Source organism: Homo sapiens, chromosome 2 (assembly GCF_000001405.40).
Source record: "Homo sapiens chromosome 2, GRCh38.p14 Primary Assembly".
Lineage (NCBI taxonomy): Eukaryota > Metazoa > Chordata > Mammalia > Primates > Hominidae > Homo > Homo sapiens.
Window position 1 is genome coordinate 190,875,141 of NC_000002.12, and position 24,880 is coordinate 190,900,020.

Here is a 24,880-nt window from a genome sequence, read left to right on the forward strand (position 1 = left end):
CCAACCCTTGGATTTGTAGCATTGTTTCTAATACCTTCTAAATGGATAGAGGGAACCAGATGCTTACTGTAAATGTCAGATGCTTGAAAAGTGAAAATATAGTTTGAAGGAACCCGTGCTTTCCAGAGGATGAATACTGATTCCTCTTTAACCTGGTACATCAAAATACATTATTGTAGACTCTGAATTTTATATTTAGCTCCATAAATAATGATTTCAGTGGAGTTCAGTAATTGGTTTCTGAATTGGTAATATGATTTTACCATTGGATGAGCATAAATAGATAAAAGCCCTGGCTCGTTTTTCTTTTTCAGGGCTTGTAAAATGTGACAAATGTTAGCTGCTGAACCACCATTAGATTTCACAGCATAAAACCAACCACAGCATAATTGTATAGGGCTCATACTTCAAATCACTGCTAATTTTCTCCACTTAACATGTCCAAATGCATATGACATACTAAACTATCAATTAAATGTCTCCTACCTGAGCTTTGGTTTTAATTGTACCTGGAAAAGAATGCCTATTGACAGGCAGTCCCACTTAGTGGTACTCTTTCAACTGCTCTGTAGGTTGACTGACTATCTTTTAGAGTTCGCCAATGTTCTTCTTCATGATACAGATTTGTATCCTGGCTACCACGTCTTCTTCATTCAAATTGGACGATATATCAGTCAGCTTAAGCTAAGTCATTCTATGGTAATAACCCTCAAGTTTAAATGACTTAAAATAAGGCTTATTTCTCTTGATGTTATTTGTCAGCCAAAGCCATTGTCAGCTTTGTTCCATAATTCTGGGACCCAGGTAAAGAAGCATCCCCTCATGGACTGGACTAGAACCAATGAACTGTGGTGGGGTGTGGGGGGAAAGAAGCGTCCCCTCTCTGGGACATGCCATTCTTGTTTAAAAGGGAAAAGAGAGATGACAGAACCAAGTGAGTTTATGCTCGGCAGTGGCATACCACTTCCTGTCACATATCATTGAACAAATCAAGGCCAAGACTGCCATCCAAGGTGAGGAGGTAAAGTCTGCCCAGTGGGAGGGACAAAAATATTTGGGAATAGTAGTATAATCTACCACAGAGGTTGTTTTCATTCTCAAGCAGGTATCCTTTTGACTGACTTTTGGACTATATACAAAATCAGTTTTTTTTAGGTTTTGCTAATATACAAGAAAGACTTTCTTAACTCTGGGCTGGGGTTTAGCCTGATTTATTTTTAATATGAATCCACAGAAAAATAAGCATTAAAATCACTTTAAAAAATTAATATTTGGAGGCCCCATAAATATAATGGTGGTGTAAATATAAACAATATTACCTTACAAACTCCACTAATTGAAATCTTTATCATATTACTCTAAGTGGAGAAAAATAACTGATTCCCACCCAACCCCCACTCCGGCCATCAGGAAACTCTCAAAAAGAACTTCATATAGTTAGTATTTTAAGGCAGATCATTCAGATATGCTGCTCAAATTTGATGAATATCTCTTGTCATTTTATATGATGTCACAATGAACAGAGGTATACTTTCATTTACATAGATGGCAAATGATATATTTTTAGATTTAATTGCTATATGTTAAGGTATTTGTATATGACATGTATATTCAAGGACTGCTTTCTTAGCGATTCTTCCTTCTCTGGAATTTTTTTTTTTTTTTAGCTATTTGTGAATAGCTGTTACTTTGGGCACTGAGCCCAGCTTTTCTTAATCTGACTGTCTTTATCTTTTTCTATTTTAAGATACTTTGAAAATTATTGGTTTATTTTCTAAAAATGAAGTAAGTAAATTATCTCTAGGTTCCCCTTAAATGGTATTTTATTATTAGATGGTTTAAAACAATTGTTTGGCTTTTCAACAATAAGTGTAAAAACTGATCACATTGCATGTCAAAATTTATTCACCTATGGTTTGATAATAACAGCTATAACACTTACAGAGTGCTACTGTCATTATTCTGGGTGCTTTATATGTGTTGTTTATTTATTCCACACAACAACCCTATAAGTACCAATATTATCCGCCCCCCTTTGTTTTTTTGAGATGGAGTCTTGCTCTCTCATAGCCCAGGCTGGAGTGCAATGGCTAGATCTCGGCTCACTGCAACCTCTGCCTCCCAGGTTCAAGCAATTCTCCTGCCTCAGCCTCCCGAGTAGCTGGGATTACAGGCATGCACCACCATGCCTGGCTAATTTTTTGAATTTCTAGTAGAGATGGGGTTTCACCATGTTGGCCAGGCTGGTCTTGAACTCCTGACCTCAGGTGATCCACCTGCTTCGGCCTCCCAAAGTGCTGGGATTACAGGCGTGAGCCACCTTGCCTGGCCATATTATCCCCTTTTTATAGATGAGGGATTTACCATACTTACTTTGGTACACATCTATATTCAGTATTGGAAAAATAAGCCATGTTTGGCAGGGCTTATCAGTGAGGCTAGGAATTTGGCCAGTTAAAGCAGGAAACCAACAGAAGAAAGGGAAGTAGTAGCAGAAGCTTGTTTAGAGGCTTCCTGAACCTTACTCTATTCTCCAAACAGAAGAATTTCAAAAAAAGGCTTAGGCAATTCTTTTAAGCTGTTAGTCAAAGGAAAATTACTTTCTTTTTAGTTCTAGGTCAACAAATAATCTACTAGTTTTTGTGAAGGCGCAATCTGGAATTTCTATATATATATATTATTTTATCTTATTTTATTTTATTTTTTGAGATGTAGTATCGCTCTGTTGCCAGGCTGGAGTGCAGTGGTGCGATCTTGGCTCACTGTAACCTCGGCCTCCCAGGTTTGAGTGATTCTCCTGCCTCAGCCTCCCAAGTAGCTGGGATTACAGGTGTGTGCCACCACGCCCAGCTAATCGTTGTATTTTTAGTAGAGATGGGGTTTAACCGTGTTAGCCAGGATGGTCTCAATCTCCTGACCTTGTGATCTGCTCGCCTCAGCCTCCCAAAGTGCTGGGATTACAGGTGTGAGTCCACCGCGCCCGGCCTATATATGGATTTTATTATGATCTTGAAACATTAGCCTTTTGTAATCTTCGACAGAACAAAGAAGCTCAGGAACATAGAAGCACAGGAACCTTTCTTCAAGTTAGAACAGACACAAAGTGCACAAATTCCAATTATTCCTTTTGATGGCTGATTACCTGATGATGGCTATGGGACAGCAACTCTTTGTAGTGTAGCTGCACTTAGGAGCAAAAAGGAAGTCGAAGAGTAGATCTGACAACCCAACCATAGTTAATGTGGAGAGCATTTTTCTATTTGTAGATATTTTGGTGGACTACTTATTGTATGTATACAAATGTTTTTATACTTTTTACATGATGATTACATGAGTTTATGTAATGATATAATTCAATTTAACATAACTGAAACTTCAAAGTTGTGTAATGGTTACAAAGTTGTAGATAAAAATATCTTTAAAGATTAAAAAATTATATAAGATGAAGAAAAGAATCAAATGAAAGTATTGAGTCACATTTTTATTCTATTTATAATAGTTTCTTTGCTGTCTATAACCTTTTCATTAGCCTTCTCAAACAAGGGGTTAAATTTCAGTGGACTCAATTCTTCCAAATTTTGGGAGTAATATCTATCCATTCTCACCAAAAGCAGAAAGTCTGGAAACTACCAGAAAATAAAACTCTAGAAACTAGAAACTCTAGAAAATAATCTGTTACTAGGTTAGCTTTCTTATTTGTTAAGTGAACTATAAAGCCTTTAAACCTTTAAATATCTAAAACAATTTTCATAAGAAACTCAGAGAAATTAAGGGAGAAACTGAGAGGAAAACAGTAACTGGATTGTCAGTTGCTTTGTGTTGTTGAGAAAAAAGAGGCAGTTAAAATTGATAACTAATTGCAGCTAATATATTGGACAATATTAAAGTCTGCAAGTCATTAACAAGTCAGGGTTAGGCAGGGGTAATATTTGTTACCTTTCCTCTGAAACTTGATGTCTCTATTCCTGAATATATCATTACTTTGATTCATCAACATTTTTGGACAAGTAACATTAGTAATAAAAGCTATCTAAGTACTTTCCCATTGTCCTGCTTTTTTTTTTTTAAATAAAAAAGGTGACTATGTTTTACACATGATAGTTTTTTCCATGTTCTTCTGGTTAAAGAGCAGATAGAAAAAAAAAACTTAAAACACGGCAAGGCTGTAACATGCCAAAGGTCACATAACCTGTAGGTACAGCCAGATTTCCTAATTATTAATCTATTGAAATATTTTACAGTTCACTAGATTACTAAATCCGGTTATCAATTAATGATGCACCTGACATACACCCTTCTAGTTTCATAAAAATCACCTCATTAGGCCGGGCGTGGTGGCTCACGCCTGTAATCCCAGCAATTTGGGAGGCCCAGGGGGTGCAGATCCCTCGAAACCAGCCTGGGCAACCTGGCGAAACCCCGTCTCTACCAAAAATACAAAAAAAAAAAAAAAAAAAAGCAGGTGCTGGCTGAGGTGGGAGGATCACCGGGGCCCCTGAGTTCAAGGCTGCAGTAAGCCGTGATCGCGCCACTGCACTTCAGCCTGGGCGACAGAGTGAGACCCTTTCTCAAAACGAACACACACAACAACACAGTAACAACACACCAACCCCCAAAACATCTTATTAAACTCTGTGGATCTACTCCATTTAAACCTAATTGTTTCAGGAAATAGTCTAAAAACATTTTTTTGTCCTGGAATGTAATGTGTATGTAGCCTCAGGGAATAACTCAGTTTATCAGGTTCTTGGCTGTTTTTCCACAGGTCCAAAAGGATAAATGGATAAAGTGATGCTGAAATAACTTAGAGAACCCGTATTCCAACGCTTCTATTTTAAAACAGTGAAGCAGTTTTTAAAATAGAAAAGTATCTACAGTTTTGCTTTCAAGCAAATAGCGTTAACGGAATCATTGCTATTCAAAACTATTTTTGAAGTATCGGTGTACATTTAAAAAAAATAATTTTTAAAAAAGAAAGCTGTCGTATTCTGGATTCCGCAACCCCCCCACCCCGCCTCGCCACTCGTCGCCCTCCCTCCACCTCCACCCTCCCATGGCTTAAGTCGCATAGCTGAAAGGATTTTGCTCATTTTTTCCAAAACACTTCACGTCTGGGTAGTAGCCAATCATGGAAAGTTTCAAGCAAATGTTACATTTGGGAGAGGGATGAAGCTTGTCCGGGGCTGCTCTCGGAGGAGTCGCCAGACGCCCTGACCTGGGGGCCAGATGCGAGCTGGGATCGGCTGAGTTCCGACAGCTCGGCCAGACTCAGCCCTGCCAAACCTGCTGACCTCACTGCCCTCGGCTGCGGGGGATCTCGCCCATGAGTCTCCCCAACAGCTCGAATTCCCAGAGTGGAGGAGCCCACTGCTTCATAAATGCGAGAACCCAGAGCCCCTAGTACCCAACTAGGCTAGCCTCGGAGTTGGCACGGCGTGCAGAAAGTGGCTACTGAGCAGCCGGGCCTGGCTCACCCGCTTCACACGTCAGTTTGACTCCTCTCCCCGCCCCCCACCAATCCCCCGCCCTACTCTCCGCGCACCCAGAGCCGAGAGAAATTTGACTGCCCTAATCGCCAATCAAAAGAGAGGTCGAGGATTTGAGCCAATCGCAGCGGGCGAAAGGGGCGGGCCGTCGGCGAGCGCTGAAGGTCTCTAGCCCTCCCCTGCGCTTTAGCCTCAGTGCGGAGCCTTAGGCGGAGCGAAGAGAACCGGTCGCGGCAATCCTAGCGCGCAGCAGCAGCAGCAGCAGCAGCAGCAGCAGCAGCAGCAGCAGCAGCACCCGCATCCGCTGCGGGAGTCCGAGCCGGAACCACACCCAAGTAGCTGCCCTTTCCTCTTCTGTCATCTCACCGCCCCACCACAGACCGCGTTCCCCGAGGAAACCGGCCGCCCACGCCCGGAGCATCCTCCCCTGTTGAGCGGGCGCTGACGGACCCGGCGGCATGATGCGGCTGCGAGGCTCGGGGATGCTGCGGGACCTGCTCCTGCGGTCGCCCGCCGGCGTGAGCGCGACTCTGCGGCGGGCACAGCCCTTGGTCACCCTGTGCCGGCGTCCCCGAGGCGGGGGACGGCCGGCCGCGGGCCCGGCTGCCGCCGCGCGACTCCACCCGTGGTGGGGCGGGGGCGGCTGGCCGGCGGAGCCCCTCGCGCGGGGCCTGTCCAGCTCTCCTTCGGAGATCTTGCAGGAGCTGGGCAAGGGGAGCACGCATCCGCAGCCCGGGGTGTCGCCACCCGCTGCCCCGGCGGCGCCCGGCCCCAAGGACGGCCCCGGGGAGACGGACGCGTTTGGCAACAGCGAGGGCAAAGAGCTGGTGGCCTCAGGTGAAAAGTGAGTGTCTCCGCGAGGCGCAGGAGGCCTCGTTCCTTTCGGGGCCCGGGCTCAGGCTGTGTGGGGCCCTGCGGTGGGGCGGGATAGGAGCCGAGGGTCTAGAAAAGAGAAAGAAAGAGGTGCCGGGCGGCCTGCGCCGTCTGCGCCATGTGATTAGGCCCGGCCCCGCCCGCGCCTTCCCCGCCCGCAACCCTCCGCCAGGCACCCACTTCCCTTCTCCGCCCCCGGCGGGGGTCGCCCTGGTGGGGCCGCGGTGGGGCCTGATGGGCTCGCCTGGCGTCCCCAGCGCCAGAGAGGCCGCTCCCCTGCCCGCGCTGCGTGCTCAGCTCCCTGGCTTGCGGCTGCAGCGCCTGGCCGCCCGCCCCAGCCATTCGTGGGCGATGCTGCACGAACATCTCCACCGAGTGACATTTAGGAGTTGGGCGTTCAGCAGAGCCTTTACCTTCCTGACTTGTCGCTTTTCCTGGCTCGTTTCCGCTCTGCCTGCCCTCCCTTGGTTTCTGCCATCATCCGGTTGGAAGCCAGATGTGACAGAGAGCTCTTTATATTTCGGGAGTGGCTACCTCAGGCACGTGTAGAGCCATCTGGGGCACCGGAAACAATGTTTCAGAAGTGAGATTAGGAGGAATCCGGTCATGTGGCCGAGAAGATGGGGCACGCAGTATAGACCACCTGTTTGCATAAGGGACCAGCTTTGGCTTGTCAGGTCTTCCGTGAGATGGGGAGATTTTTAGAAATAAAAGTTAAATAGCCAAGATGAAATGTGACGTAATACACTAACTCAGTGAAAAATCTGAGTTGAGTAGGTTTTGTGACTTCATTGTGATAGGATGTTGACTCATCCTGTATGTGTACGGCACAGTAGTTTAGTCTTAAAGCAAAACTGGTTTTTCTTAAACAATATGCAAAGCAGTCTCCTATATATTTTTGTCTTGTGTAATACAAATGGACCACTTTGTTTTCCCAAAATGGGTAAAAATTTACGGATCTGCTTTCATTATACCTTACTCTTTTTCTGGCTTTGTACGCTGACACTCTAACCTGTTTTGCTTCCCTTTTATTTCTGCTGCTATTTCCAGCTCTAGAGTTCCTTAAGTCAAACTGAAAGTGAGAACATTGTTATAATTTCAATCTCACGCCTGCTTGATGTTTTCCTGTAATTGAAGTTGGGACCTTCCAGAAACTTTTCTAAAGTTCTTCTCCCAGACTGAAAAAGATTATTTGAAAAAAATCACTTGATGATGGGCGAAATTTGTGGTATTTTGTGATGTTGGTTTTGTGCCACAAAATAGCGTCCTGACCATGGACAGGTTATTTAATATCTTGGGTTAGATGACTTAAATCCTTTCAAGTTCTAAAAAGCTATACTTCTGTTAAATTTGTACTTCTCTCATGTTTTAGGGACTAGAATGATAATTTAATCTCATCTGGGACTCACTTTTACTTTAACATCATCCGGTTTACCAAGGAAGTAACGAGTTTACATGCAAGTGCCCAAGGTACAGAATTGCAAAATGCAGTCACAACCGTTTAAAAGTTCATCTTAAAGGCTACAAGATGGGAACTGCATTCTAGTAAAATTATGTCTTCAGGTCTGTGTCTCTGCAGTGGCTCTAGTGCCTCTCTTTTTTTTCCTCTTTTGTCAAACAGGAAATTGAGCTTCTTCTGTGATTCACTTGTCCAGAAGTTTCTGGTTTCATTGCCTTTTTAATAAAAAATCACCTTTTAGCAAGGGCCTCAAGGTTGTGAAGAAAGTTTTTTAATTTGGTTAAAGTTTCTATTTCCTTAATGATCTGGTTTCCAAATGTAGCTTTCCCTCTTTGGCTCCTTTCATTTTGCCTTTATGTGACAAACATTTCTCTTATCCTGGGAGGTAAGCTCCCAGTTGATCCTGTTATCCTTTCTAATGCTTAGCCTGCAAAGCATAGGTCATCCCTCAGTCAGCAGTCCACCTGGTATGCTAGCACTCACTCAGGACTGTGCCAGATTTTATGTAGTATTATTAAAAGAAATAACCATGAGAAAATTAAATTAACATTTTGTAAAAGGCTTAGAACAATATTTGGCGTGTGTTAAATGACACATAACTATTTATTAAATAAATGAGAAAACATTGCTTCTTCATTATTGTAAAGCCTGTTAAAGAGATTGGCCTTGGAATTTCAGGCTTGCACATGAAGGTTTTTAATTTTTTTAGTTTCCACAAAAATGTTTATCTTGAGAAATTGCTATACATCTGTCTTATATGAAACTATGTGAGTTGCACTGTTTACCTTTTGCTCTGCTGATAAATAAGTTCAGAGTAAATTTAATGCTTAACCACACCAATTTCATCAGTTCACATGGCTGGGATATCTGCGTTTCCTCCTTTCCTTGGTCCTGAGTTTATATTTTATTTACTTTATATTCTGGAAGGAGGCGTGATATAAGCAAGTTACTTTACCTTTTTTTCACAAACTCTTTGAACTAATGTCACTTTAGACTATGCTGTTTCCATCACGCAACTTTAGTGTGGTTTAGGATACGAACGTCTTAATATCACATAGAAAAATTTAATGATCTTTGCTCAGTTTTGTCTTTAGTGATCTTATTTAATTTTGTTATGGTTCATTCTGTTATCTTGAAAACCAACTTTGCTTGCCTCTCTTCGTTTTCAAAATTGTTCTCTCTTCTTTCCTAGTTCTTTTTGAATTTCCTCACTGGGTAAAAACCCTGAGGCTGAGGCCTTTGTCCCTTTCCCACTTGTCTGCCTTCTCAACAGCGTATCCCTTCTTTCAGCTTTGACTCTCATCTTTGTGTAGGTAATACTTCACCTCTTAATCCAAAGCTCTGTTCTTAAATTTGTCGCCACATATTCAATGACTTCAAATTTTAAGTCTGTACCCTGATATTCATTCTTTTCTCCAATTCAACCTATTTTGCGTACTGTTATGAGAGTAATTTTAGAGTTTTAATTTGAAAATAGCACTCTCTTCCAGAAAACCAGCAGGATCTGGAATGAGCATTATATTAAAGTCACAAACTATGTTATGGTTTATGCCAGCACTTGCCCATATGGACATTTTTATCATACTTTTCTCTGTTAAGCTGGTTATACTTATTTCCATAAAGTCCAGAAGTATGTATCCTATCTTAGTGAATGGTCCCTAGGAAGAGTCAGAGGGATAGAGGTAAGGGGCATTATTAAGTTTTTTTATTTGGACATTTATTTTTTAATGAGAAAGGAAAAGAGATACATAACAGAAATTGGGCTGGAAAAATACCAGCATATGTATGTTGTTAGAAAATAGATAATTCATACAGGATGCAATATTGAAAGTATTCTGTTAAAACAACAATGAGGTCACTTTCCCCTTCTCAGATTGGCAGATGTTAAATCAAGTAATTGGGAAAATAGGAACTCTAGCATTGCTAGTAGAAGTATAAATTATTAGTTCAGTTACTTTAGGCAGTTTGGTAGTTTCTGTTAAAAACTGCATAGCTGTGATGTGGTAGTTGGATGTTTGCATATCTACATGAAGTCGTGGCATTCAGAAATATTTGTAATTACACAAATAAGCATGCTTTAAAATATATTTATATTTAAAAGTAAAAATGCAAGCAAAAATGATTTCAGCTAGCTTTAGTTAGTATGGATTTATGTTTTGATAGTTCAGCTTTATGTTTTGATAGTTATGGACAATGAAGGGCAAAGAAAATCATCGAGGTGTATACTCTGAAAATTGAATTTTTTTTTTTTGAGATGGAGTCTCGCTCTGTCACACAGGCTGGAGTGCAGTGGTGTGATCTCGGTTCACTGCAACCTCTGCCTCCCGGGTTCAAGCCATTCTCCTGCCTCAGCCTCCCGAGTAGCTGGGATTACAGGCACCCGCCACCATGCGTGGCTAATTTTTGTTTTTAGTAGAGATGGGGTTTCACCATGTTGGCTGGGCTGGTCTTGAACTCCTGACCTCAGATGATCTGCCCGCTGTGGCCACCCAAAGTGCTGGGATTACAGGCGTGAGCCACCGCACCTGGTCTGAACATTGAATTTCAAAGTAAGATGAAATGCTTATGAATTTCAGCGAACATTGAATTGGGTAGATTGAACAATACTAGTAAGGAAGTTGAGTTAGTATTTGGCAGATATAAATATTAAGTTTTAGAACTGAATGACAAAACCTCTGTTAAAATGGGGGCACATGTTTTTATGATCCTTCAGTATTGCATTTGGTTTTAATTTTAAAAGCTAACATATTTACAATTCACTTAAGCTAAAATCAAGGTGGAAAGTATGTTTAATTTTTTCCTTTGGGCTTCTCAGGCAGCCCCTTAGTTATTTTTGATTTCTTCATTATTAAAAATTTTTTTCTAGGTGATGATTATCAGTGAGTTTTAGTTTTTTTTTTTAAATTTTATTTTTATTTATTTATTTATTTTTGAGGTGGAGTCTCACTCTGTCACCCAGGTTGGAGTGCAGTGGTGTGATCTCAGCTCAATGCAACCTCTGCCTCCTGGGTTCAAGTCGTTCTCCTGCCTCAGCCCCCCATGTAGCTGGGACTTACAGGCACGTGCCACCACACCTGGCTAATTTTTGTATTTTTAGTAAGATGGGAATTTACCATGTCAGCCAGGATGGTCTCGACCTCCTGACCTTGTGATACGCCTGCTTCGGCCTCCCAAATTGCTGGGATTACAGGCGTGAGCCACTGCACCCAGCCCAGTTTTGTTTTTTTAAAAGCAAGTGAAAAAGGTACCAATAACTATATGTCATAACATTTTTGTGACCTAATATTTATATTGAAATGTGCATCAGTCATTGATAACTTTGTCCATGATCTGTAATTAACAAACTCATGCTGTTAATTTATAGTTTTATTAATATTTGGATGAAATTCACTGAAAGAACAAGAATTAGATTCTGAGGGGTTTAGTCTCCTGGACTTTTAGCTGCATATTTCCAGACCTTACTCTTTTATAGAGAAGTCTACCTACCTCAAAGTCAGCTAATCCATGAAATGACTACCAAATAGAATTCAGCCTTTTTTATGAGGCAATATGTAGGCCAGCTAAAAGGGAGGGGGGGCACTATTTTAGTCCAAAGATAAATGTCACTTTGAAAGAAATTTGCTGAAGATATTTGTGGGTTTCTTTGAGTTTTAAAAAGTTATTTAAAAGAAATCAGGCTGGGCGTGGTGGCTCATGCCCGTAATCCCAGCACTTTGGGAGGCCAAAGCAGGTGGATCAGTTGAGGTCAGGAGCTTGAGACCAGCCTGGCCAACATGGTGAAACACTGTCTCTACTAAAAATACAAAAATTAGCCAGGAGTGGTGGCGGGCACCTGTAATCCCAGCTACTCGGGAGGCTGAGGCAGGAGAATCGCTTGAACCCAGGAGGTGGAGGTTGCAGTGAGCCGAGATCATGCCGCTGCACTCCAGCCTGGGTGACAGAGCGAGACTCTTGTCTCAAAAAAAAAAAAAAAAAGAAAGTAATAGTAAAAGGCTGTACTACTTCCTTCTTGTGATATTTGAAATGAAGAAAAATTATGACCATATAAGCTGAAAGCCTAATTATAGAATTTGTGTGAGGGAGCTCAATCATGTTAAATCCTATATAAATTAAGGTTATATTTTATAGTTGCCTGTCTGTGCCTTTTCACCTTTAAGTCATTTGCTAGTAAGAGAAATGCTTAAGAAAGGTGAGTAAACAGATGTATTTATAAAAATAGTTATTAATTACTGATATCTCTCAGTGAGGTACATAGCTTTCACATAGAGATACTGTTAGTACAGTTTTACCCTGAAATCTACTCAGGTGCAAAATTGCTTTGGTTATGAAACACATTACTTGTGAGTCATCACTGCACTTAGTGATTTTCTGACCCCCTACAACGTAGTAGAAGCAAAATGTTAATGTACCTTGACTTCCATTTGGGAGTGTCCTCTGCTTGATATGTTAAATTCATTATAAAGAAATGTTTATAGTAAAAGCATTACTTTCGAAACATAGAACTGTAGATGTTGCATAATGAATAAAACTGATAGCTTTCAGGATTAAGAAATATATTTTTGCCTATTTATTTCTGGTACAGGCTTCTAAAAAAGATTTTTAAAATTGTCTTCTTGATGAGGATATTTTGAGTGACATAGACCCGTCCTTCAATTCTTGATGGTAAACTTTCTGAAGAGCAATTTTTAAGCTCTATGAGGAACTTACAAAGTATTCATACCTTTTTAGGAATCTAAGTTCACAAAATAAACTGAAGTGTTAGAAAGATTTATTTCCTATTATTTTTGGTACAGTGTTATGCATACTAGAGAAAAATGGAGAAAAACGCATGTTCAACATTAGTGGGATAGTTAAGTAAATTGTGGTACATTCATATGAGGGTCTCTTATTTAGTCATTTAAAATGTTTGCAGGTACTTTTTAGGATATAAGGTAATGTTATAACGGCCAAAAGTTAGAATACAGAATTTTCTATGCAGTATGATCTCAAGCTATTTAAAAAGCTCAGAAAAAGTAATAGAAGGAAATAAGCCAAAATGACATTAGCAGTTGTGGTTTATGAGAACGAGCATTGTTTTTCCTGCCTCCTTTTGTTACTTTTAAGATTTCCCCCCCATTATAAGTGGGAAACGTCTAAAACAGTAAAAAACATTCCATAGTTTTGAAAATCAAAGGAACCACATCTGTTAAGTTTTGAACTTGTAAATCTCTACTGTCTACTCTTCTAATATCCTGATTCTGGTTGTATAAGAACAGTAAGCACCATTACATTGAAAGAAAAGTATGAAAATAGGTTATGTATGAATTTGCACAGCTCCTGTTTATCAGCATTGTCTAATCATATTCACTGGTACCCTTAAACATCAAACTTTAAAAATTTAAAACTATGCTTGATATATCTCCCTAGTAAATGTTACATATTTCTCTGCCATATTAAAACATTGTAATCAATAGAGTTTAACATTTCTTGTTCAACTTATGTGTATTTTAAGGATGCATTATTATACTGCACTGTAATACAGTGATGCTGTAAGACAAGTGCTGGCACACTTTCCCTGAAAGGCCAAATAGTAAATATTTTCAGCTTTTGGGGTTCTCTAGTCACTACTACAACTTCTCAGTTCAGTGGTGGTAGCAAAATAGCTGCAAACAATAGGTAAATAGATGTGGCAGTCTTCCAATAAAACTTTATTTACAAAAAGAGGAGGTCCCTGCTGTAGTTTGCGTAGCCCTACACTAAAATATATTTATTGGTAAGTTCTCTCATGCCTTGATTGGTTCTGCTTTAACCAGTACTCTTAAGGGTGGGTTTGTTCTTTTGTGGATTTTTGTATCTTGTATCAGTTGACTGTTCTTCATGTCTCTACTTTAGCTATCCTCCTTCACTCTTACCTTCTGTATCCAGTTCTGCTTAGCTTTTTCAAAAAATTGTGGTTAAATATACATAACATAAAAATTACCACTTTAACCATTTTTAAGTTCCCTAGTTCAGTGGCATTAAATACTTCTGTTAGTTTTAGAACCCAGATGAATATGCTAATGTGTAAAATAAAAGTATGTAAGTTGTGAGTGAATAAAGTTTATGATCTCACTTTAGTGTAGTGATTTGGAGGACATCTATTTTTAGCAACTCAAAAACTGAGAATTAAGCTTGGAAGTAACTTTAAAGAACATTTAATTCCAGCTCATTTTACGTATTATATAAGCTGCCCGCAGATATTAAATGACCTAAACAAGTTCAGACAGTATTAGGACTTGTTTTGATTTTTTATTTTTCATCTATTAGCAGCAAACTAATTCAATTTATAGAGTTAATTTTTTTAGATTGAGGATTATAAGAGATCTTACAAACCCTTCTCCCCAGCTGCTGCTTTCTTCTCTTCTGTTACATACTCCCTATAGGTTGTTGTTATTCATCTCTACCTGAATACTGCCTTCACAAGGGAGTTCACTCCCTTAGAAGGCAGCCCATTCCGTTTTCATAGCTGTTTCATTTTTCCTTATGTGTGGCTGAAGTTTTTCATTAACTTCTACCTATATATGTTAGTTATTCTGAACAAGTTGTCTATAGTGGTATCAGAGTGATTGCAGTGACAGAATTCATATAGTATCTGTATTATTCCATCTAGACTGATATATTAAAGGATACTTGGCTGAAGAAATGAGTTATTGGAAAAACTAACAGAGTTGGATGTTATAGACTTGATCTCCCCAGATCCTAGTCTTCCCACCCGAGACAGCCAGACTGCCTTTTGGGTCAAACTTCTGAAGTTGTGCAAACGTATGGACAAATTACCATGAGCTGACAGGGGCAGCCTGACCATTTCCTCACATAAAGTGGCTTTTGTGCTTTTTACTTTGGTGTGCTATTAAATGAATTTGTGCTATAAAGTCCAGTCAAAACAGCAGCACTAATTGAATATAATCTCATCTTTGCTTTGACAGGATGCAGTTTTATCAAGGCAGACCAGTTTAGTTCTCTTATGTGCATTTTGGTTAGAAATTTATTATTGTTTAAGAATTACAGATATTATTCCTAAAATAGAGTGCTAACCACTGAGAGCATGAGGTGGCAGAGCAGGAAGAGTCTGGAACTGGGAACAAAGGATGAGCTTTGTAGGACTAATTCTGGTCCAGCCACTTAAGATTTATGTGACATTGGACATTCTGCTTGACTTGGATACTCTTAAAACAAAATTTTTTTTAAATTTAAAATTTAAATTAACATTTTCTTTCTTTTTTTAGAAATGGAATCTTGCTGTGTCACCCAGGCTGGAGTACATTGGTGCCATTATAGCTCACTGCAGCCTTGAACTCCTGGGCTCAAGCAGTCCTCTTGCCTCAGTCTCCCAAGTAGCTGGGACTGTAGGTGCATGCCACCACACTCTTCTAGGACTCTCTTTTATCTGTACACTGGGGACAATTAACCCACCTTAATTTACCTCATAGGGTTTTAATATGATAGAAAGTGAGAGTCCTTTTTTAGCAGTAAAGCCTTAAAAGATGTAAGTTTTTATTTTTAAATTCAACCAATGATTAGCCTTGGGGCAAAATCACTTGGATGATAACTAGAATTTGTCAATTTGTTAGACTTAACATTCATTCTCATATGCTATTTTACTATATGGTCAGCCACCATCAATTCAACTTTCTATCTAACAGGTTTATTAATCTGCCAGTTTGCTGGTGTTGATAGACGGTTGTTATCAGTCAGCTCACTATAAATTCAAAATGATACACTGATTTTAAAACAACCCTGAATTATCATCTGAAGGATCATTATTCTTAAATGAAGGCATAAAGACTAGCAAATCCTTTTGTATTGTGTTATTATTAGGCCTCATTTTTTTTAATCCCACTTGAAAAGACAGTTTTTCATTGTCTCATAGGTTTACCATACTATACTATGTGTTTTAAGAGTTATGCGAAAAAAAAAATAAGAAAGACTTGACCCCAGCCTTGAAGCTTTATAGTTTGGGGAGGTTAGGTAATATGAAATGTTATTTAACAAAATAAGACCATACAGTTGGTTTCAATTATTTTCCTCTGTTCATTTTGTAGTTCTTAGTAAGGATTTTTTTTTTATTTTCTTCCTTTCATTTGATAGTTTTTTATTTATAAGATTTTTGAACTGATGAAGATGAGTTTGCCTTGTTGCTCCTAATTACAGATTAGAAACTTTCTTGATTTCCCCTACCGATTAAGGCAAAATTAAATACTTCATCTGTACTTGCTAATAAAATACTTTTTGAAAAACACTTCTACCATAGTATTTGTCTCATGGCTTTAGTCATATTTCTCCTAGACCACAACCTTACTTTAGGGATCTTTATTGCTATTGCTTGGCATATAATAAGTGGTACAAGAAAAGGACAAAACTTAGTGATACCAGAGAATGCTAAAGAGTATAGAGAATCTGGTGGGGGCAAAGTCCTGTGAAACAATTGAAATGATCATTGATAGCTTAAGATTTAGGGAGAGGAAGGTTTTACACAGAAGGCATGATAGGTTAAAAAAAAAAAAGATGAGATAGCACTTATTTACAGGTCATTGAGTCTAGTCAATTACATTGGGGAATTATAAGGATTAAGTTAGGAATAAATAGTGTAAAACTAATTTATAGAGAACTGCATACCAGACTGAGGAGTATGAATTCCCCCTTTGGTATGGGGAAACTAATTTGGTCAGTGGGGTAAGCAAAGACAGTTCCTCTTTTCATGTTGCAGAAGTTGGCCCTGCATTTAAACTTAATGTAGATTTTGGAAGGTAGTCTCCTCATTTACCTCAGATATATATATTCAGAATATATATATTCTCAACACTAAAAAATTAAGTATTCATATAATAGCCTATAGGTAGAAACAGGCACCTTAATTCACACATTCTGTGCTCTAGCTGTTTTTTGTTCTTTATAAACACTAAGTGAATGCTTACTTTCATCCCTTTGGTCTGTTTGCCAGAAATCTTTTTCTGTTGCCATGCTTCCAGCTCTTACCCATCTTTCAGGTTTAGCTCAGATTCCACCTCATCTAAAAAAAAGCTTGACCTTATTAGACCACAGTGAAGTAGTTTTCCAAAGTCTGGATGTCATAGATCTATTCTTGTAATTCCTCATTTTATGTACATGTCTCCTACTTCTTCTAGACTGTAAATGATGTCTAACATGATGTCATACATGGCATGGGATTTTTCTTCTTTTTCATTAAGAAATTATTTTTTAAGACAGTTAAAGGCTAAAGTAGGGGAAGGAATGGGTAAAAGAAGAAACAATATGATGGTAAGATGATCTTAAAGGCAGCATTTAGAAAGGAAACGAGAGAGACAGTATAAGTTGGAGAAGAAGTAAAAAGGTGAGAAATAAGGATTTTCCTTCAGATTATCTTCTGTTATATCCTATTTGAATTGCTGAATATCATAACCATTTTATGTTTTTCTCTTCAGGGGAATCTGGAGGATTCATTTGGGTTATTAATAATTGTTGATGATAAGATTTGAAAGATTGCTATAATCCTATTTGTCATTAAAACTTAAATACTTCTCTCAAGGATTTCCTAGTTACTATATAGTTACCAAAAGCTATAGTTTTTAGCTTTTGAATTTTAATGAAAAATACATTATTGTGAAGAATTACCAGAAAGAATTAATTTAGGGAGAGAAAAGGGGGGTTAAGGCATGAATGATCTTGAGTAGTTTCTGCCTTGTGGAAAGTTTGAGGAGAATATTTGAGTATGTTTGTTCGCCAGACTGTTGAAGCGAATTCATTCTCAGATCAAAATCTGAGGTTTCAAATGCTGAAATAGGTAGTAATTTCTTTTTATCAGTTTTGACAGCTTATTTTGTGAGCTTATTTTTTAGGGCTGGCTTAAATTCTTTCCCCTATAGATAAAAATTAATTTCTTGTTTAAAAGCAAGTAAACATTTGTCTTTTTTTGCTAGCTTTGGCAATAACGTGGTCATTTTAATTTTTTTTCACTATGTGCCATAAGCTAAAAAAGTGTATATTTTACGTTATTTACATAGCTTTTAGGCAAAGCAAATACCATTTACTTGTGTGATAAATACATAGAAAGCTTATTCTGCAGTTTTTTAAAGTGACAAACTACCACTATCTGAAGTTTATTTGACCAACCATTTGCTGTAAATAATTGGTATGTTATTATCCACTGATTTTTTGACAGCTGGTTCAGTTTTTTCTTTGAATATTAGGTGGTGAGTATTGTTAAGCTGTGTTTAATGGTATTAGGTCAGGATAAGACCTAGAAAACTTGTTTGTACCTTATAAAAGTAATAACAAGCTAGTAAGTTAGAGAGCCAGTATAATGTAGCAGTAGTTTGGATTCAGAAAAATCCATCTTTGCCATTGTGTAACCTTGGAAAGCTTCTTAACCTCTGAGCCTCTGTTTCCTAATCTGTGAAATGGGGACAGAGGTAGTCATTTTTTTGAACAAATAACAAATTTGTTGAGCTTCTAAGTATGTACCAGAAATCATACTATGTTTTGGATAACAGTAGTACCTCTGTCATAAAATCCTTGGAGGATTAAGTTAGAATGCATGTAAAACACTTAGCACAGTGTGTAGAATATAAGTAAGTGATCAATATATTGTAGTTATTATTACTAAAACATCCCAAATGTATTTTTTTTGGAGACAGAGTCTCGCTCTGTTACCCACTCTGGAGTGTGGTGGCACGATCTTGGCTCACTGCAACCTCCACCTCCCGGGTTCAAGCTATTCTCCTGCCTCAGCCTCCCAAGTAGCCGGGATTCAGGCGCCTGCCACAACGTCTGGCTAGTTTTTCTATTTTTAGTAGAGATGGGGTTTCACCGTGTTGGCCAGGCTGATCTCGAACTCCTGACCTCAAGTGATCCTCCTGCCTCAGCCTCCCAAAGTGCTGGGATTATAGGCGTGAGCTGCCACGCCCAGCTTCAAATGCATTTTTAGAAGTTGTCTAAGAGCAAAAACAGTTTCAGGGAATAATTATGTATCAGGATATGTCATTAAATATTTTAATGATAAAGCTATGTGTTTTTAAAAAACATTTGTGTGACATTCAGTATTTAAAAGTTTGGTTAATCATAGCATTTTAGTGTTACACTAGTTTAGTTAATTAAGATTTTTAATGCATACTTATTGGTAACGTTTTTCTTTTAATAGTCTTTATGATTTGTAGAATTTGATGTATACAGTCTTGCCTTGTCCTTCTGTATATGTTAAGAGATTGGTTCCAGGTCCCCCACAGCTCAAGTCTCTTATGTAAAATGGCATAATATTTGCCTATAACCTACATATATCCTCCCATATATTTTAAATCATCTCTAGATTACTTATAATACCTAATAAAATGTAAATGCTATGTAAATAAGTCTTATACTATCTTTTGAATGTACGTTTTTTTATTTTTTTTCTGAATATTTTTTATCCGTGTTGGTTGAATCTATGGATGCAAAGGGCTGACTAGGATATGTAAACCTAGATCACTTTAGAAATAATAACTACAACTACTGTCAGTGGAGTCTTACTCTCTGCCAGACATGTTCTAAAGATATTGAATGTATTGAGTCAACTGATCCTCACCACAACCCTATGAGGGAGGCACTGTTTTATTCCCTTTCTCAGATGAGGAAACTGGATCACAGAAAGGTTAATTAATTTACCCAAGGTTACACAACTATAGTATTACAGCCAGGATTCAAGAACTTGTGCACTTGATCTTAACTACTGTGTAGTAGTTAATTGCTATCTCTCCCAGATTTTATAATCAGGTTAACTATTTGAATAATATGTAAATATAGTCATCATATTTAGAAAATCCCCAAAACAACTGAACAGAGTGTTGAGTCTTATCGGAACGTTTGCTGAACTCTATAATTTGTATTGGGTGATTGTACTGGGGTGTATAGGAAGGCATCACCATAACGGATGGCTGGGCATTAGCACAACTAGAGTTGATGATCAGGGTTTCAAAACCTGGGATTAAAAAATGTGTTAATGATTTTTTTTCTACTTGTTTTTCAGTGTGGTTTATAGTGGTACTGATTTGATTTTGGTAAATCAACATTTATTATGACTGTAGTCTTGAGTATATGAGCTCAGCTGTAGTCTAGTTTAGTGGTTATTTAACAATGGATTTAGTTAAAAATCCAGTAGAATGTTCATACAAGGATTAATTTTGTGTTCTTTCTACCTCTTTAGTAAAATAAAACAGGGTCTGTTACCTAGCTTGGAAGATTTGCTGTTCTATACAATTGCTGAAGGACAAGAGAAAATACCTGTTCATAAATTTATTACAGTAAGTTTTTATATTTTTCTATCTTAACTTAAAAAAATCAATAATAATAAATATATACAGTATTATTGAAATATAGTCTTAAAGGTCGTCTGACATGTAGATTCTGACTGACAATATTTCTCTTATTATGTTTTCAAATTTTTGTCATGCTCATTTCAAGGTAATCAGTGAAAGAAAAAGAAAGAAACAATGAGAAACTTGTCCAGAAAGTGGGTAATAGTGACACTAAGATGCCATATTCATGTTCAAGTGTTGGGTAGAAGTTTTTATATACAGGAATAAAATCTTATAGTTGGTATAAGCATATACATTATTTGCACTATATATTTACAAACTCTTATTTTTTTAAAAACAGGCACTCAAATCTACAGGATTGCGAACGTCTGATCCCAGGTTGAAAGAGTGTATGGATATGTTAAGATTAACTCTTCAAACAACATCAGATGGTGTCATGCTAGACAAAGATCTTTTTAAAAAGTAAAAGTTTCTGCCAAACCTTTAATGGTGATTTGCTATGCTATACGGTGATTCTGCTTTTAAAACAAAATTGCATCTTTGAAGGCCACTGCTTCCTGTGTAATGGAAAAAGGGGATTTATAAACATCATTTGTTTGAAGAACTTGGTACATATTAGGTTCTATAATACACCGGGCTAAGAGTATTCTTTCTTTAAATCTGTTCTAAGCAAATTTAGCCACCGATGTTTCCAGTTTACAGTACTTGGAGATTGCATTCAGTTTGAGTAGAGCACATCCTTTGTCCTGTCATTGCTTATATTGATCCCCAATTCATCTGCATGACTTGCACGCTTTCTCAGCATGGTCTCTAGTTCTTTTCCACAAGGTGATTTAGGTGACATCATAAAATGAGAGGGCTTCAGACAGACCTGTGTTCCTCACATTTACATACCTGCATTGTCTGCTCCTCTCCTCTCTTCAGACATATTGATACATAGGCTTTTGGCTATTTTCATTTTCTTCAAAACAGTAAAGAACTAAAGGCAACTTTGGCGATTAAAGCCTTGATTTGGTTGAATGAGAATTTTTACTTTGATGTTCCTGTATTTGCATATATTTATTATTTATCTTCATTAATGTGTTTCTATTAGTTTGATTACTTAAAGATTTAATGGACATGTGTGTAATGGATCCCAAAGAATCAAATAGTATTTTAAACTACTACTATTTAAGTAGAAACTAGTATAAAACTGTAAATACTACTATAAGACATTGGCTTTTTCCAGACATGGATCCAAAAAATTTCTGCATCTACTTTGAAAGTTTGTTATGTATGGTTGTATTTACTTTTGTTTTATCTTCTTTTGGGGGTTGGGTGATTTGTTCTAGATGTCTCCTGGAGTATGAAGTCATCTGAAGGTATAAGTATTTAACTGTGGTTCTCTGAAGTTTCCTGGCATGCTGTGAAGCACTGCTGACAGCTTGGGTTTCTTATCTTTTCACGAGGAGGTTCTTGTTTCTGTTAACTTAGCTGACCTTAAAGTGTAGACTTTAGGTCCGTGTTGCAGTTGGTATTAGGAATTTTGACTTCCAGAACCTGCTTTTTAAGAGACAGAAAAACATCATTTCTAAATTTATTTGTGTCTTTGCGGTAAGGATTATTTTTCGTGTTCATGAACTGTCTGCACAATATTCTGATTAAAGTGCTTTCTGTGGGCATTATTTTGTTGTATCTGTGAATGAAGTTGTTAGAGTAATGGTTGGTAGATCTGTTGATAATCAGTAGGGGAACTGCTTTGGAATTTTAAGTGGAAGCAGTATTTTACACTTTTTTTTTTTAAGAGACAGAGTCTCATTCTGTCGCCCAGGCTGGAGTGTAGTGACATGATCTTGGCTCACTACAACCTCTGCCTCCCGGGTTCAAGTGATTCTCCCACCTAAATTCCCAAGTATCTGGGATTAAGGGCGCCTGCCACCATGCCTGGCTTTTTTGTATTTTTAGTGAGACGGGGTTTCACCACGTTGTCCAGGCTGGTCTCGAACTCCTGACCTCAGGTAATCCATCCGCCTCGGCCTCCTAAAGTTACACGGTTTTAATACTTGAAAAAATATTTATGTTTTGTAAACATGTTGTTATGTTTAAATATGAAATTAAAAACAATTTAAATCCTCTGATTATTAAGCCAGGGAACTGCAAACATTAAATTTTCTGCCTGCAATTAAGAGATAGTAATTATTGTTTTAAACACTAATCCAATTTTTAAAAATCTATGCTTGTAATACAGGCAGTTTCCAACTTGACAAATGTTTTATGGTCTATATGAGCAACCAGTAGAAAAGTACAAGTCTCTAGGGCATAATTATTTCTCTTTATTCTTAGAATGAGGTGGTTCAAAACCTCCAACTGTTAACCTTTTAATAGCTTTCAGTCACCTGGAAAGGTGATTGCTTCAGAGATGTTCTTTTCTCTGTTTTCAAATATAAGAAGTTACCTAGTTAGTGTTGCCAGAAATAAACTTCTCCCTTTCATGCAGCTAGGGAGGAGATGTTAAAACATGGGATTCATTTTTCCCCAGAGAAATAATTTATAAAGGTGGGTAGGTTTGGTTGAAGCAGTGTGTTAATATTTTACCTAAAATACATTGTAGATTAATATTTTTAGACTTTTTCGGTAATCTGAGAAAACTATTATGTGTGACTTTTTTTAACTTGGGAAAATACGTTCTAAGCATACTTTTTGGAGTAAAACCTGTTCGAAAGTTGGAGACTGCCTGTACCCAGGTTGATAGTCAATTGTTTTTAATGCTAGTAAATCTTAACACTAATACAAGTAAAAATATTTGTGTGGAAAACTAATCCTTTCTTTATTCGTGCATTTTTAACTTTATAGGTATTAAAACTTTCTTTGTATGATCATAATTTTTTGATCTTTTTGTTTTGCAAGAAAGTGAATGGTAGCCTTTCATTTGTATGTTTGATTTTCTTAAAAATTTCATATTTATTATGTTATTTTACAAATGAAAAATTATTTGTGAGAAATGTTTTGTCAATCATTGTGCATTAGTTTTTAGTTATAAACACTTAAGGAAAGAAAATGATTATTCCCGGCTTACAGATAAGAAAACTGAACAAAGGACAGAGATATATATAACTTGCTGAAAAGCATAAGCACCTCCTCAGAGTTCATTTTATATGACTTCTCATTTCCTAGTTAGACTCATGGTATCTATATTAAAATAACTCCCAAGAAAAACCTTACTGTTTGGAATGGTGATCGGTATGCAGTTAGATACTCTCCTGAGAGGCAAAATTGGCTTTGTCAGCCTGTTAATATTACCAGTGAAGGCTGTTGGAACAGCTTTACCAGCACCTTCTGCTAGAGCAGAACATTTGTAAAGTTTCACTGAGTGTATAATTTTGTTAATTATAAATCCTTTTTTTTTGAGATGGAGTTTTGCTCTTGTTGCCCAGGCTGGAGTGCAATGGCGCGATCTTGGCTCACCGCAACCTCCGCCTCCCAGGTTCAAGCAATTCTCCTGCCTCAGCCTCCCGAGTAGCTGGGATTACAGGCATGCACCACCACGCCCGGCTAATTTTGTATTTTTAGTAGAGACAGGGTTTCTCCATGTTGAGGCTGGTCTCGAACTCCTGACCTCAGGTGATCTGCCTGCCTCAGCCTCCCAAAGTGCTGGGATTATAGGCGTGAGCCACCGTGCCTGGCTAATTATAAATTCTTTTAAAGGTACTGATTAAAATAGTTAAATGGTAGTAGGTTAATAATTTAAATTTGTTCAGCAGCTCTCATTTTTGCATTTATAACTTCTTGAAAAATGAGGAAGTGCATTTGATTTGTTGTAGATATAAATACTGGTTTAAGATCAGGAATTCTATTTTTCTTTCCTCTGAGAAAGGTGTTCTTTGATGTACATCTCTTGCAACTCTGATACTTGGAAGTTGGATTTTAGAAGCTATTTGAAACATTAAAAATATTAAAATAATGGTAATACTTTTGAGATTAATATTGAAACTATCTGAAAATGATTGCTTATTGAAGTAAATATTTCTTAGCTCTGGGGTGTCAATACTATATAAGTTATGGAAATTAGGACTGTAATTTTTTTAATGTTGTAATAGGGGGATCCTTATGACTGAAACAATAGTCATTTCTATTAGGATTTTATTTTTAAACTGTTAATTTTATATTGAACAAATGAGTATATATTATTCTGAATTCTTATTAATAGTTAAACTGTGAAACCTGGCTTTTAGCTTTAATTTGGTTTCATCTAGAACAACTTGAATTAAAATATTGACATTTAAAAATTTCTCATTTATTACAGACTAAACAAGAAATACTGAGAGTATCTTACTCTTAAGATTTATTATCGTTGGTATTATGGCTTAACACCGTGTTTAGCAAGTCTTCCTTTGTTAATTAAATATTAATTAAATATTCTATTACTGCATTACAGAGACTTAAGAAGCTCAGAATATACAATTGGCTGTAATCCATTTGCAAAACGTTTTAAAGGCTACGTTAATATACTGATTTTCTGGCTTAAATTCTTTTTAGCAAAAAGCAGAATACAGTTCAAATTATTAGATTTCAGAATATCATGCTCTCCCATCCACTTGGTTTACTATATTTTTAAAATACTTTTTTAACAGTGAAACATTTTTATTCTGCATTATATTTACATATCTTACATTAAATAGCATATTGTAATATAACATTTTTGGTGACTCAAATAATATAAAATTAATTATTACACTACTTCATATGAAATTTTATTTCAAATTAGAGATTATTTTTAC

The 24,880-nt window shown here is 37.5% G+C and overlaps 1 protein-coding gene and 1 long non-coding RNA gene across 7 annotated transcripts in view, besides 7 other annotated features; one reads left to right on the top strand and one right to left on the bottom strand.

Moving 5' to 3' along the window:
- Positions 1-1,195: 1,195 nt before the first annotated feature.
- LOC124906110 (uncharacterized) lies at positions 1,196-6,848 on the bottom strand. Its single transcript, XR_007087791.1, has 2 exons — positions 6,773-6,848; positions 1,196-6,428 (listed from the first exon to the last, which is right to left on the bottom strand). It is a non-coding gene; the product is annotated as an uncharacterized LOC124906110 (long non-coding RNA).
- Positions 5,069-5,208: an enhancer, noted in NCBI's record as "active region_16867". NCBI's record gives its function as "activates an Ori minimal core promoter by ATAC-STARR-seq in GM12878 lymphoblastoid cells {active_cell/tissue: GM12878}" and the evidence as "EXISTENCE:reporter gene assay evidence [ECO:0000049][PMID:35858748]".
- Positions 5,479-5,738: a silencer, noted in NCBI's record as "silent region_12186". NCBI's record gives its function as "represses an Ori minimal core promoter by ATAC-STARR-seq in GM12878 lymphoblastoid cells {active_cell/tissue: GM12878}" and the evidence as "EXISTENCE:reporter gene assay evidence [ECO:0000049][PMID:35858748]".
- GLS (glutaminase) overlaps positions 5,681-24,880 on the top strand; it is an 84,732-nt gene continuing 65,532 nt past the window's right edge. For 5 of the 6 annotated variants that reach the window (XR_007072653.1, NM_014905.5, NM_001437282.1 and 2 more), the window contains exons 1-3: positions 5,681-6,330; positions 20,012-20,108; positions 20,464-20,585. Coding sequence is in view for 4 of the 6 variants with exons in the window: in NM_014905.5 (NP_055720.3) it covers positions 5,945-6,330; positions 20,012-20,108; positions 20,464-20,585 (605 nt within the window). In the remaining 2 variants the exon portion in view is untranslated. The other variant, XM_047443957.1, reaches the window with a different exon arrangement.
- Positions 6,079-6,138: a silencer, noted in NCBI's record as "silent region_12187". NCBI's record gives its function as "represses an Ori minimal core promoter by ATAC-STARR-seq in GM12878 lymphoblastoid cells {active_cell/tissue: GM12878}" and the evidence as "EXISTENCE:reporter gene assay evidence [ECO:0000049][PMID:35858748]".
- Positions 6,189-6,278: a silencer, noted in NCBI's record as "silent region_12188". NCBI's record gives its function as "represses an Ori minimal core promoter by ATAC-STARR-seq in GM12878 lymphoblastoid cells {active_cell/tissue: GM12878}" and the evidence as "EXISTENCE:reporter gene assay evidence [ECO:0000049][PMID:35858748]".
- Positions 6,339-6,648: a silencer, noted in NCBI's record as "silent region_12189". NCBI's record gives its function as "represses an Ori minimal core promoter by ATAC-STARR-seq in GM12878 lymphoblastoid cells {active_cell/tissue: GM12878}" and the evidence as "EXISTENCE:reporter gene assay evidence [ECO:0000049][PMID:35858748]".
- Positions 6,605-7,804: an enhancer, noted in NCBI's record as "P300/CBP strongly-dependent group 1 enhancer chr2:191746471-191747670 (GRCh37/hg19 assembly coordinates)". NCBI's record gives its function as "activates an origin of replication core promoter dependent on BRD2, BRD4, P300/CBP, MED14 and CDK7 cofactors, with strong dependence on P300/CBP, by STARR-seq in HCT116 cells {active_cell/tissue: HCT116}" and the evidence as "EXISTENCE:reporter gene assay evidence [ECO:0000049][PMID:35650434]".
- Positions 6,969-7,158: an enhancer, noted in NCBI's record as "active region_16868". NCBI's record gives its function as "activates an Ori minimal core promoter by ATAC-STARR-seq in GM12878 lymphoblastoid cells {active_cell/tissue: GM12878}" and the evidence as "EXISTENCE:reporter gene assay evidence [ECO:0000049][PMID:35858748]".